This window comes from Homo sapiens, chromosome 16, assembly GCF_000001405.40.
Source record: "Homo sapiens chromosome 16, GRCh38.p14 Primary Assembly".
In the NCBI taxonomy this organism is placed as follows: domain Eukaryota; kingdom Metazoa; phylum Chordata; class Mammalia; order Primates; family Hominidae; genus Homo; species Homo sapiens.
Window position 1 is genome coordinate 1,450,856 of NC_000016.10, and position 12,475 is coordinate 1,463,330.

Below are 12,475 nucleotides of genomic sequence, written 5' to 3' on the forward strand. Positions count from 1 at the left end.
CCATGGGGAGGCCACAGGGGAAGAGGCTCTGCGGGGCCCTGATGCCAGCAGAAGCAGGAGCCGCGTCCAGCGGGGCGGCCCAGCTGGGTCTAGCAGCGCCAGGTCTACACTCCATGGGTGTGCACCGTGGTGCAGCTCGCAGCCTGGCTCCGGGAAGAGGGTGCCCCCCACAGCCTGGGGTTCCTTTCCTGGAGCAGGCAGCACTGTACTGCGTGCAGGGCGGGTGAGACCGCCAGGGACACAACTGCAGAGGTGAAAGGCCGGCACTCCAAGGTCGCGGTCTGCGCTTCCGTGAAACACTTGTGGTCGAGCGAGGCCAGGCCGTGGTCTTGGTGTGGGAGTCACCAGGCTGGGTTTTCTTTTGTTTTTTGAGAGAGGGTCTCGCTGTGTCACCCAGGCTGGTATGCAGTGATGTAATCACAGCTCATTGTGGCCTCAACCTTCTGGGCTCAAGCAATCCTCCCGGCCCAGCCTCCCAAGTACCTGGGACTGTGGGTGTACTACCGTAGCCAGATAATGTTGCTTTTTTGCAAAGACAGAGTCTCGCTAAGTTGCCCAGGCTGGTCTTAACCTCCTAGGCTCAAGTGATCCTCCTGCCTTGGTCTCTCCAAGTGCTGGGATTACAGGAGTGAGTCCCTGCTATGATCCATGCTAGGGATGACCCCCCAGCCCAGGGCTGCAACCTCAGCCCACAGGGGACACTCAGCCAGAAGGCATCACCCAGGCCCTGATCCCAGGGCCTGCCCAGCGGCACTGCCCACACACACCTGGCGGGTCGTGGAAGAGGCTCACCACGCTCTTCTCCGGGGTGTTGAAGAAGGCCGCAGCCATGGAGTTGTACTCGCCATCTGCACAAAAGAGCTGTGGGGTCGGGAGAGAGCACACGTTGGGAGGGGAGATGAGCTGGTGGGCTGCAGGCACAAACCTGGTGTCGCCGTGAGAGGCCGTGTACCCTGTGCCTGGCCAGCATCAGGCGCGAAACCACACGATCCTGCCATTGGGTCAGGGCCACGGTCACAGAGGGCAAGGAGGACACACAAGGCCCAAGCCATGGTCACGGAGGGAAAGGAGGACACACACGGCCTAGGCCCAGCAGGGGGCCGTGTCTAGCCCTGGGGGGTGGGTTAGCAGGACCATGGGCTGAGACGCTGTCCATCCCTGGTGCCGGGGAAGGTGGGCCCAGGCGCTCACATGAGCTCCTAGAAGAGGCTGTTGGCGCCCCGGTGCCACAGGCCCAGAGCCTCCTGGGCTCCAGCAGCACAGGGGGTGTTATCCACGGGGCTGGAGCAGAGTGTAGCAAGGCTGGTCAACCCCATGGCCCCGGGCCTCCCACGTCTCTAACGGTTCACACCTGACCCGTCCCATCCTGCCCACTCCCGCCGTGGCACCCACTGGTCTGCTGGGCCTCTAGGCTCTCCCTGTTCTGGATGTTTCATGTTAATGGGGCTACGTCGCGTGACCTCACGTGTGGTTCCTCTGAGCGTAGTGCTTTCCAGGGCAACCGTGTCACAGTGCAGATGGACGCACGGACGGCGGTGAGCCGTGAGCGCCAGGCACAGGTCCAGTTGTGGACGGAGGTTTGCATTTCTCCTGGGTCCACATCTATGGTGCCCCCATAGGGCGCCTGAGGCTCGCCCCGTCAGGCTGCCATTCTGGGAAGAGGACTGGGGGGAGCCTCTGGCCCCCATACCACCGCCCATTCCCCTGGCACCTCAGCAGACACCTGGCCTCCTCTGAGATCTGGGTGGACAGGACTAACCCTCTTTGAGACACGCCAGCCCATGCGCTTCTGGAACTCGGCGGGGTGGGCAGCCCTCCTCCCGTAGCCTAAGCGAGCCTCCTGGAGGCCGCCCTGTGGCTGCCCTGCCTGCTGGACCCCGCCCGGGCCCAGCCTCCCACCTGCAGCGGGTAGGACATGGAGCCCCCCTGCAGGGGCTGGCAATCCCGCGACGAGTAGATCAGCACGAAGGCAACTGTGGCCGTGACGGCGGCCACCAGCACGGCCTCAATCACCTGCAGGCAGGGCCGGTGGATGTACCTGGAACCAAGAATCAGGCTGCATGGCAGGCAGGACGGCAGCGCGGCCCCTCCGCAGGCCCCATGGCAACTCGAGTCCCTGATGGAGGACACTGGGCCCGTGGTGCTTTTTGTTTGTTTGTTTTTGTTTTTGAGACGGAGTTTTGCTCTTGTTGCCCAGGCTGGAGTGCAGTGCTGCGATCTTGGCTCACTGCAACCTCCACCTCCCAGGTTCAAGCAATTGTCTTGCCTCAGCCTCCCGAGTAGCTGGGATTACAGGCGCCCGGCTCTACATCTGGCTAATTTTTTTTTGAATTTTTTAGTAGAGACGGGGTTTCTCCATGTTGGTCAAGCTGGTCTAGAACTCCCGACCTCAGGTGATCCACCCGCCTCGGCCTCCCAAAGTGCTGGGATTATAGTCGTGAGGCACCGCGCCCGGCCAGGCCTGTGTTTAATCATCAATCAGGCACCCAAATGTCCTGGGGTCGTCCTCTTCCCTGGGGTAAAGACTCCTCGGCAGCAACTTCTCCAGATGTGTGGGAAGTGGCGCTACCCGTGCCCCGGCTGTACCCGACAGTATTGAAATCAGCACAGACCAAGAAGGAAGAAGCCGGGGGGCCCCGGTGTCCCAGGACAGCTGCGGTTGCTACCAGGCAGAGCCAGGCGGTGAAGGTTGGGCATGCCTCGCCCAGGCCCGATCCCACGCAGGGCCTCACTTCCTACCCAGGGGCCGTCCTCCAGGAGCCCTCGCACTCCTAGCCTTGGGCTAGTCCGTCACCCTCCAGGCCCCGGGACACATCTCTGACCAGCTCCACCGGGGAAACCATCAGGAAGGACGCTGCATACACAGCCTTTCTTTCGGCTGTGGCCTAGGAGTGTAAACCCCATTCCACCACGTCCGCTTTCAAAGGGCCTGTGTGGCCACGCCTGCCAACGCGATATGCAATGCGGTTTCTCCTCACCTGATTCGAAACATGGTCAGCCAGTAGTTCAAGGCATTGAACACTGCTCCAAGCACACCGCCTGCGAACAGGGGAAAGGCCAGTCAGCGACACCGGAGGAAAAGTGCGGGCCTCCGCCCGCCGGCTCCCAGATGGCAGGAGAAGCTGGAGGGTTTGCAGAGGGAAGGGGACGGCAGGGGGCTAGGGGGTCCTGGTAAGATGCTTCCTCCACATCATCACACCCTGAGGGCTGGGGGAGCTGTTTCTCAAAGGCTCTGCCTTCCTTCCAGGGCAAAGGTGTCCAGCAGAGCAATAAATACTGGTGGGAGCAATTCTATCTCTTACAGGAAATCCCATCCATCCCTGCAGCCCTGTGGTTTTTGCCAACAGAGATAAACAACGGGAAGCCACAGAAGCGAAGCTTTGGGCTCCCCACTCCCCACGTGTACTGCCCATGGAAGAATCTGGAGGCCCCCGGGTGGCCCTGGGATGAGGGCAGGCTCCAGGGAGCCACAGCCTCCAGTCCTCGTCTCTATGGCCACGTCACAGCTGAGCCAGGCCCGCAGGCCGTCCCTGCGGTGCTGGGAGAAGCCCTTACCCACCACGCCCATGGCGATGAAGACCGGGATCTCGTGGATCGTGTAGGCCATTTTCTGTGCAGAGAGAGGGAGAAGGCAGAGGATGTGAGGGAAAAGGCCCACAGCTCCTTTCTGCTGAAACTCAAGGACCACCATCTTAAGAGAGCTGTCCCCACAGAGAGCCTTCCCGCCCTTCCACGCAGGCTGCGGAAGTCCACAGGGGAGAAACACACTGGGTGTTCTGAGCAGGCCTGGCCCCTGCCTGGCGGGGTGGCCAGCGAGGCTCTCAGAGACCCTGCCACCCTCAGCACCCGGGGCGGGGAGGGCCCCAAGCACTGGGAACATAGCCCGTGGTCCCCCAGTTTCCTGCGCACAGAGCCGCCCTATCGATGGCACGGAGAGTCTCCCCAGCCCAGGCCCCAGGCTACCCTGGAAACTAGGCCTGAGCCCACCTGCCCCGAGAGCGGCTGCTGCACGTGCCCCCAGGCCGTGGGAGGCCCCATGCACGCAGCAACTGTGTGACATCCCAGGTGCCCTGCTGGTCACATGGTGCCCTGACCTGAGGGGCAGCTTGGGGTGTCTTCCTGCAGCCCCTCGGGGCCCTGGAGCTTACACAAGAGCTCTCAGCTCCACAGCTATCAACCAGAGTTTTCTAAAGGACCAAATTCTCAACCTGGGCCTTAAGCAAACAGGGTCCTGGACCAGGATACGAGGTGGGCGAGGTGGGCGATGGGGCAGGTTACCTCCGAGTCAAACCTTCCGAAGTTGATGAGGCCTGGGCTGGACAGGTCCCACATGTTCCCGTGGTAAATGCTCAGAACAAAATTCAGGGTGAACGTGGAGATCATGGAAGCAAAGAACTGCGGCAGAGGGCAGGAAACCAGCGCCCTCAGAGCCACGCTCCCAGCCCAGGGCTCACGGACCAGCAGGGACCATCGCCCCTCCTGTCAGCCCCGGGGCCAGGAGTCTGCAGACCCCGCCCAAGGCAGAAGGGAAGGGGCTGGAGCCAGGGGTGGGCGCACTGTGCGGGCAAGGAGCGGCCCAGCCCTCTCTGGACTTGCCAGTGGAGAGCAAGAGGGGAAGGTGGGGCAGGGCTGGGTTCCCGGCTGTTTGATCCCCTACCCGGGAGCCACCCAGGGCTGGCAATGGTGCCCAGGACCAAGGGCGAACTGGGCAGCAAAGGCAGGACCGCTGCTTTGGGCAGGACCAAGGCCTGACAGACCCACAGGGGGTCCAGCTCCAGCCGCAGCTCGATGGGTGGCCCCAAGGTGGACCCCATGGTGGGAAATGAGAGCGCAGCATGCACCCTGATCAGGAGGCAGCCATCAGCAGGAACTTACGATCCTCCAGGTCAGGAACTGGTTCCAGAAGGACGCACCCTCCTCCAAGCTGAACAGGACCCCACCTGGAAGGCAGGCGGCCGGCTCGGGTGCCAGCTGGACACAGGGCACCATGCCCACCACCAACTCCCTCCCCCAGGCTCCAGGGAACCCAGACCACGTCAGAAAGAAGCTAATGGGGTGGGCCCCAGCCACACAGAGAGGGACCCTGAGGGAGGTCTGAGGGCTGGACCCAAGTACACTGCCGGCCGCTTCCAAATGCCCCGGCCGTGACTCCAAGCCTCTGCCACCCTCAGCGGGCACTGGGCCTACAGAGAGGAGACCGTTCCTTCCAACACACAGGGCGAGGGCAAAGCATTGGACCCGGTGCGGCCCTCCTCACCCACGGGGGCTCCAAACGCCGCTGACACTCCGGCCGCAGCCCCTGCGGAGACGAAGTCCCGCTTCTCTGTGTCTCTGCGGAAGTACTCGAAGATCTGCAACAGGGACAGACCAGGGTCGGGGCAGGTTCCTTGAGGGCACGGCTCTCAGAAAGGGAGAGCAACTGCCAGGACAGGGGCTGTGCAGGGGAAGGGGCTTTCAGGACAACCGAGTCAGCAGCTCTGATTCCTGAAGAGCACCGTGCTGCAGACCACGGCAAGAGACAGCAGGGTCAGCACCACCACCGGCAGCCCAGGGAAACACGCAAACACCCAGCCAGGAGCTCCACTTTCCAGCGCACGCAAGATTCCAAAAACCTCTACCCTCTAACGAAAAGCGCACGGATGGAAACCCAGCCTTGCTGTTCTTTGTCCTGCGGGACGCTGCCTGCCTCTAAATTCACACATGGCCGGCGCGGTGCCTCACGCCTGTCATCCCAGCACTTTGGGAGGCCGAGGCAGGCGGATCACCTGAGGTCGGGAGTTTGAGACCAGCCCGGCCAACATGGCAAAACCCCATCTCTACTAAAAATACAAAAAACTTAGCCAGGCGTGGTGGCGGGCACCTATAATCCCAGCTACTCGGGATGCTGAGGCAGGAGAATTGCTTGAACCTGGGAGGTGGAGGCTGCAGTGAGCTGAGATTGTACCACTGCACTCCAGCCTGGGCAACAGAGAGACTCCATCTCAAAAAAAAAAAAAAAATACAATCACACACAAATGCAGCTCAATCCCCATCAACATGCTGGGGACTTTTTTGGGGAAAAAGTGTTCCAAAGTGTGTCTTGACAAATAAACAACAGGTGGGCACACTTGGTCTCAGGTTCTGCACTCCTCTGAGAAGCCGCTTGGAGCCACAGACCCTCCCACGGGAAACACTGATGCACGTGTGGCAGGGGACCCAAGGAGGGAAGCAGCGGGCCGTAGGGAGGCCTTGCCGGGCAGGGACTGTGCCCGCTGGCTCTGGGAGCCACCCGCCAGGCTGTCCTCAGATGGGGCTGGGGCTCTCGGCCTGGGGGTGCTGAGGGAAGCCCATCTCCCTGAGTGGTGCCCGTGCCCGTGCCCATGGCATCTGGAGCCCACCCACACAAGATTTCAACTCACCTTGAAATCTCGTTTCAGTGACGTTGACCTTCCCTGAGAGATCCCGGCGGCAATCACTGAACCTGAGTGGATCATCGGCCCTTCCTGGAGACCAGAAGGACCGGTGCTCAGAGACACGCGTGACGCGGCCCTTCCTGGAGACCAGAAGGACCGATGCTCAGAGACACGCGTGACGCGGCCCTTCCTGGAGACCAGAAGGACCGATGCTCAGAGACACGCGTGACGCGGCCCTTCCTGGAGACCAGAAGGACCGGTGCTCAGAGACACGCGTGACGCGGCCCTTCCTGGAGACCAGAAGGACCGGTGCTCAGAGACACGCGTGACGCGGCCCTTCCTGGAGACCAGAAGGACCGGTGCTCAGAGACACACATGGGCGTGGCGGCCCTCGCGGGCCCGGCGGCCTCAGGCTCCAGCTGGAGTGGCCATGTGCACTTTGTTACCTTTCCCACGGCCAGGCCCCCGACCACGGACAGGATCACACCGGACACTTTGATCACCAACGTCTGAAACACAGGGAGACGCATGGCCTCTGATGAAAAGGCAGGCGCTGTCTTTGGACCTGAGCCGTAAAACAGCACACACAGCCCCGATCAGGCAGAGTGGCTGGGACACGGGGCCTCCGGGAGGGGGCCAGCACCCCCAGGCTGGGTCTCCCCATGGCCACAGTGGAGCTAAACAGCAGCCAAGCGTCCCCCGCACTCACTCGGGGGACCTGCCCTCTGTGGCCTCAGCACTGAGCAGGCAAGGGGTTCTTTCGTTTCCTTCCTTCCTGAGGCAAAGCTGGGCCGCCCACCGCATCCTACAGGCACACCTGCCTCCGCCAGCGTGGCCAGCACAGGGGAGGTGTTCCCGCTAGCCCCGCCTAGCAAGGCTCCTCATACACCCCTGGCACTGGAAGGCTGGTCACCTGCGGCTCCACGATGCCCCCTCTCCCTTCGGCTGCTCCCCGCCCCCAGGGGCCTCATCCTCTCCACCTGAGAAGGTGTGTAAGGTGTTTATCAGCCTCCCTGCCCCAGGGCAGAACCCACAAGGGCGCAGACCCTAAACACAAGGGCGCTGAGTGTGTGGGGGAGGACTGTATGTTAAAGATGCCGAGCAAACTCAACCCTCAGCCAACAAAAGTTATAGAGCAACATCCAAGAAGGTTCAGGCCAGCCTGGCGCGGGTGACAGGCGGGTCGCCATTCCCAGCTGCTCCAGTAAACCTGATCTCCCACCACAGGGCAGGGGCACCCCAAGGTCACCTGGGAGCTTTCGCCAGAGGGGACACACTGGTCCCGCTCCTTGGCCACGGGGACCAGGCCCCGGAAGCACCCCCAGGGGGCAGCGGCCATGCTGCCCACCCATCCTCAGACGGGACGGGGCTGCGGCAAGTCTCAGGCTAAGGAACGATGGCGGCACAGACAGAAGCAACCACAGCGGAACTGGGTCAGGACTCCCAGCACCTCCAGAACCAGATGCTCTGATAACACCAAGTGTAAATGACCATGAGGCAAACTGAAAGCGGGAAACTGCTACACGCCCACTACCACGACAGCTTCCACGGTGAATCAGTCACCACCACGCAGCCCACAGTCACAGACGCGTCGCACAGCTGTGTCACACATGCACCACGCAAGCATTTCTGTATGACTACTCATTTCTTACGTAATTTAATATGTGCAAATACCAGTTGTTACCACTTTCAGAAAAAAAGGTGACCCCTTCACACCCAGCCAGCCCATCTGCACACAGTGCCACCAGTACACAGGGTGGCTGAGGCCAGTTCTGGAAGGCAGGCAGCCAAGAGAGCTGCTCCTGAACCAGCAAAGAGCGGGCGCCCACCCTGCCCAGCCAGGGCCACCGCACCCTCACCTTGAGCCGCACCACGTGGGGGATCTTCACCCCGTTGAGGAAGCACTTGATCTGGGGGATTCCGCTGCCAGCAGCCACCGGCTGAAAGAGGGGAAGCACGGCTGAGTGGGTCACGGCCAGGCTGAGACAGATGCAGCCCCTCAGCCCCAGGAGCCCCAGGAGCTGAGGAGAGCAGCAGACACGTCGGGGCCTCAGGGAAGGGGAGCTCAGCACACAAACGTCGGGGCCCCAGGGAAGGGAAGAGCAGCACACACGTCAGGGCCCCAGGGAAGGGGAGAGCAGCGCACACGTCGGGGCCCCAGGGAAGGGGAGCTCAGCACACACGTCGGGGCATCAGGGAAGGGGAGAGCAGCACACGCGTCGGGGCCTCAGGGAAGGGGAGAGCAGCACACATGTCGGGGCCTCAGGGAAGGGGAGCTCAGCACACACTTCGGGGCCCCAGGGAAGGGGAGAGCAGCACACATGTCGGGGCCTCAGGGAAGGGGAGCTCAGCACACACTTCGGGGCCCCAGGGAAGGGGAGCTCAGCACACACTTCGGGGCCCCAGGGAAGGGGAGAGCGGCACACACGTCGGGGCCTCAGGGAAGGGGAGCTCAGCACACATGTCGGGGCCTCAGGGAAGGGGAGCTCAGCACACACTTCGGGGCCCCAGGGAAGGGGAGCTCAGCACACACTTCGGGGCCCCAGGGAAGGGGAGAGCGGCACACACGTCGGGGCCTCAGGGAAGGGGAGCTCAGCACACACGTCGGGGCCCCAGGGAAGGGGAGCTCAGCACACATGTCGGGGCCTCAGGGAAGGGGAGAGCAGCACACACGTCGGGGCCTCAGGGAAGGGGAGAGCAGCACACACTTCGGGGCCCCAGGGAAGGGGAGCTCAGCACACACGTCGGGGCCTCAGGGAAGGGAAGAGCAGCACACACGTTGGGGCCCCAGGGAAGGGTCTCATGTCGTTGGGGTAGCTGCTCTCACTCTTCCCAGCCCAGACACAGATCAAGGACGTGGTGGAGGCGGAGGTGGAGATGGAAGGAGGGGAGGGCAGAGTGAGGAGATGGAAGGAGGGGCGGAGTGGGGTGAGGGTGCCCAGGCCTGTGCTGGTAGGTCAGGAGCAGCACCCCAGGGCTCTGGGGGTGAAGAGGCCCTGGTGTGTCTGCTCCTCCTGAGGTTGTGAGTCTGGACCACGTGATTCTAAAAGTGCCCGGGTTGTCAGCCAATGTGATGGTGGGGGTGGGTGAGCTGCAGGGGTTCCCGCCCATTCACCAAGACCCCCAATCCTTCATGGGGTCCGCCATAGCTGCGGCATCCTGCCACCCACCTCTATGAAAGCCACAATCACAGAGCCCACGAGCACGAAGGCGGCGTTCAGCGTGGCCCACAGCAACAGGGAGAAGGACAGTCCGCCCTTCTCTGTGAACTTGTCGATATCTGGGGCTCATCAAGGAGGGCTGGCTGCTTCCCCGTCATGACCACCCAGCCCAGACCTCAGCCCTGCCCCACAGACCAGCCTGGCAGATGCCACCCTGCTGGGTGGAGCCATGATGTTCACTGGACATCCCAGAGACGTCTCACGGCCCAACCATGACAGGGACACAGCCAGCCTGGCCGGGCCGCCTCCACCTGCACTGGAACACGCTGGGCTCAGGACTTCTGCCCGGGACTCGGCCCAGGCCACGCCCCCCTCCCAAGCTGCAGCGGCCGCACTGGGAAGGATACTGCCCTTGATGACCCTGTACTTGAGGCCAGCCAGGTTTTCCACCACGATGTCAATGAAGCAGGCCACGAGGCCCGTGAGGATCCCAATGAGGGCGCAGATGACCCAGCGCTTGATCTCCACCGTCCGGAAGGCCTGCAGGGCGCGGTCAGGGCGAGGGTCAGGCAGGGCCCTGGCGCAGTCACTCTGGCAGCAGCAGGACCGCCCAGACCGCCTGCAGGCCCCGGGATTATGAAGGGCCCAGTGTGCACGGTGCGCTGAGTCCCACAAAGGACAGTTTCTGGCCAACATCTGAGGCGCACCCGGGGCCCGAGGGTGACTCGGGGAGGTGGGTGAATTCCCAACAACTTCACAGCCAGCGGTTGTTATGCTGGGCACCGCATCTGGCGGCCGTAAGAGCAGCCTTCTTGGTTACGGTGACCGTGACCCTCCCACTGTCTCTAGAAACCAGACGAACCACAGGCCTCAGAGGCGGAGTCAGAGGAGGAGGGAGGAGGTGCGTCACCTCACCCCGGCAGAAGAGCAGCCCCAGGCCCGGCCGGCACCAGGCCCCGCACCGTGGGGCCCTGCAGGGAGCGGCGTCCAGCTCACCGTGTGATTGATCCGCCGCTCCTCCTCCAGGAACAGCTGGTTCTCACTGTTGTCATAGTCCAAGCTCTGCAGGCCGGGACAGCAAGGGCAGCACTCAGCACCGAACCCACGCTCTGGGTGCGGGCACAGGGGACCGGGAGTGGGCTGGCAGGGGGCAGAGGCCGGGTCTCAGGGTCAGGGGGACAGAAGGACGCCCACCTCATACTTGAGGGACAGGAGCTTCTCGTTGTGTGGGATCTCCTTGGGGAAGGGATGTGGAGGGTCCATATCCTGTGGCAGAAAAAGGCAAAGAGAGAAGCACAGTTGACAAGGCCACAAGGAGAGAGGCCCCTCTCAGCTCACACACGAGGCCATTATCATCCCGACACCAAGGACAAGGACACAGCAAGAGAACTGCACATGGGGCGCGGTGGCTGACACCTACAATCCCAGCACTTTGGGAGGCCGAGGCAAGTGGACCAGCTGCGGTCAGGAGTTCGAGACCAGCCTGGACAACAAGATGAAACCCTGTCGCTACTAAAAATACAAAAATTAGCTGGGCGTGGTGGTGGGCGCCTGTAATCCCAGCTACTCAGGAGGCTGAGGCAGGAGAATCGCTTGAACCCGGGATGCAGAGGTTGCAGTGAGCCGAGATTGCGCCGTTGCACTCCAGCCTGGGTGACAGAGCAAGACTCCGTCTCAAAGAAAAAAAAAAAAAAGAGAACTACAGACCAACACCCCTACAACCACGGATGCAAAGATCTTTGGTAAGACACAAGCAAAGTGATTCCAGCAATGCCAGGAGCAAGGTGAATTCAGCCTAGGAATACAAGTTAGTTTAACATCCAAAAATCAATCCATGAGGCCGGGTGCGGTGGCTCACACCTGTAATCCCAGCACTCTGGGAGGCAGAGGCAAGAGGATCAACTGAAGCCAGGAGTTCAAGACCAGCCTGGGCAACAGAGTAAAACCCTCATCTGTCTTTTTTTTTTTTTTTTTTTTTTTTTTTTTGAGATACAGTCACTCTTTTTGCCCAGGCTAGAGTGCAGTGACGCGATCTCAACTCACTGCAACCTCCGCCTTCCAGGTTAAAGCCATTCTCCTGCCTCAGCCTCCCAAGTAGCTGGGATTACAGGTGTGCACCACCACGCCTGGCTAATTTTTGTATCTTTAGTAGAGACGGGGTTTCACCATGTTGGCCAGGCTGGTCTCAAACTCTTGGCCTCAAGTGATCCACCCAGCCTGGGCAACACAGTGAGACCCCAACTCTTAAAAAAAAGCCAAAAAAAAAAAAAAAAAAAAAACCAGGCATGGTACTGGCATGAAGATGGCCACAAAAGAATGGAAGAGAATTGAGAGAGTCCAGAAAGAAATCCAAAACATGTACGATCAATTGATTTCCCACAACAGTGTCAAAACATTTCAACAGAGAAAGGTAGTGTTTTCAACAAATGGTGCTGGTACAACTGGATTTCCACATGCAAAAATGAAGCTGGGCCGGGCGCAATGGCTGACAGCTATAATCCCAGCACTCTGGGAGGCAGAGGCAGAAGGACTGCTTGAGGCCAGGAGTTTGTGATCAGCCTGGGCAACATAGTAAGACTCCATCTCTACAAAATATTAGCTGAGTATGGTGACATGCGCCTGAGTCCCAGCTACTTGGGAGACAGACAGGAGGCAGAGGCTGCAGTGAACCATGATTGCACCACTGCACTCCAGCCTGGGTGACAGTGAGACCCTGTCTCAAAAAAAGAGAGAGAGAGAGGGAGGGTATGACGTTGGACCCTTACCTCACACCACATCCAAAAATTAACTCAAAAGGGATGAAAGACCTAAAACTGTAAAATTCTTAGGAAAAAACGGGTCAGTCGTCATACTCTTGGGTGAGGCAATGGTTTCTTAGATTTGACACCAAAAGTACAAGCAACACAAGAAAAAACAGATTAG

General features: G+C 60.8%; 1 protein-coding gene across 3 annotated transcripts in view; it reads right to left on the minus strand.

The window, feature by feature from the left end:
• CLCN7 (chloride voltage-gated channel 7) overlaps nt 1-12,475 on the minus strand; it is a 30,094-nt gene that overhangs the window by 5,921 nt on the left and 11,698 nt on the right. For all 3 annotated transcript variants that reach the window (NM_001114331.3, NM_001287.6, XM_011522354.2), the window contains 14 exons: nt 10,748-10,819; nt 10,550-10,615; nt 9,961-10,093; nt 9,563-9,672; nt 8,252-8,332; nt 6,839-6,901; nt 6,399-6,482; nt 5,258-5,351; nt 4,876-4,940; nt 4,279-4,395; nt 3,556-3,610; nt 2,979-3,039; nt 1,900-2,038; nt 768-861 (listed from right to left, as the gene is read on the minus strand). In NM_001114331.3, coding sequence (NP_001107803.1) covers nt 768-861; nt 1,900-2,038; nt 2,979-3,039; nt 3,556-3,610; nt 4,279-4,395; nt 4,876-4,940; nt 5,258-5,351; nt 6,399-6,482; nt 6,839-6,901; nt 8,252-8,332; nt 9,563-9,672; nt 9,961-10,093; nt 10,550-10,615; nt 10,748-10,819 — 1,234 coding nt within the window. The remainder of the gene's footprint in view (nt 1-767; nt 862-1,899; nt 2,039-2,978; nt 3,040-3,555; nt 3,611-4,278; nt 4,396-4,875; nt 4,941-5,257; nt 5,352-6,398; nt 6,483-6,838; nt 6,902-8,251; nt 8,333-9,562; nt 9,673-9,960; nt 10,094-10,549; nt 10,616-10,747; nt 10,820-12,475) is intronic.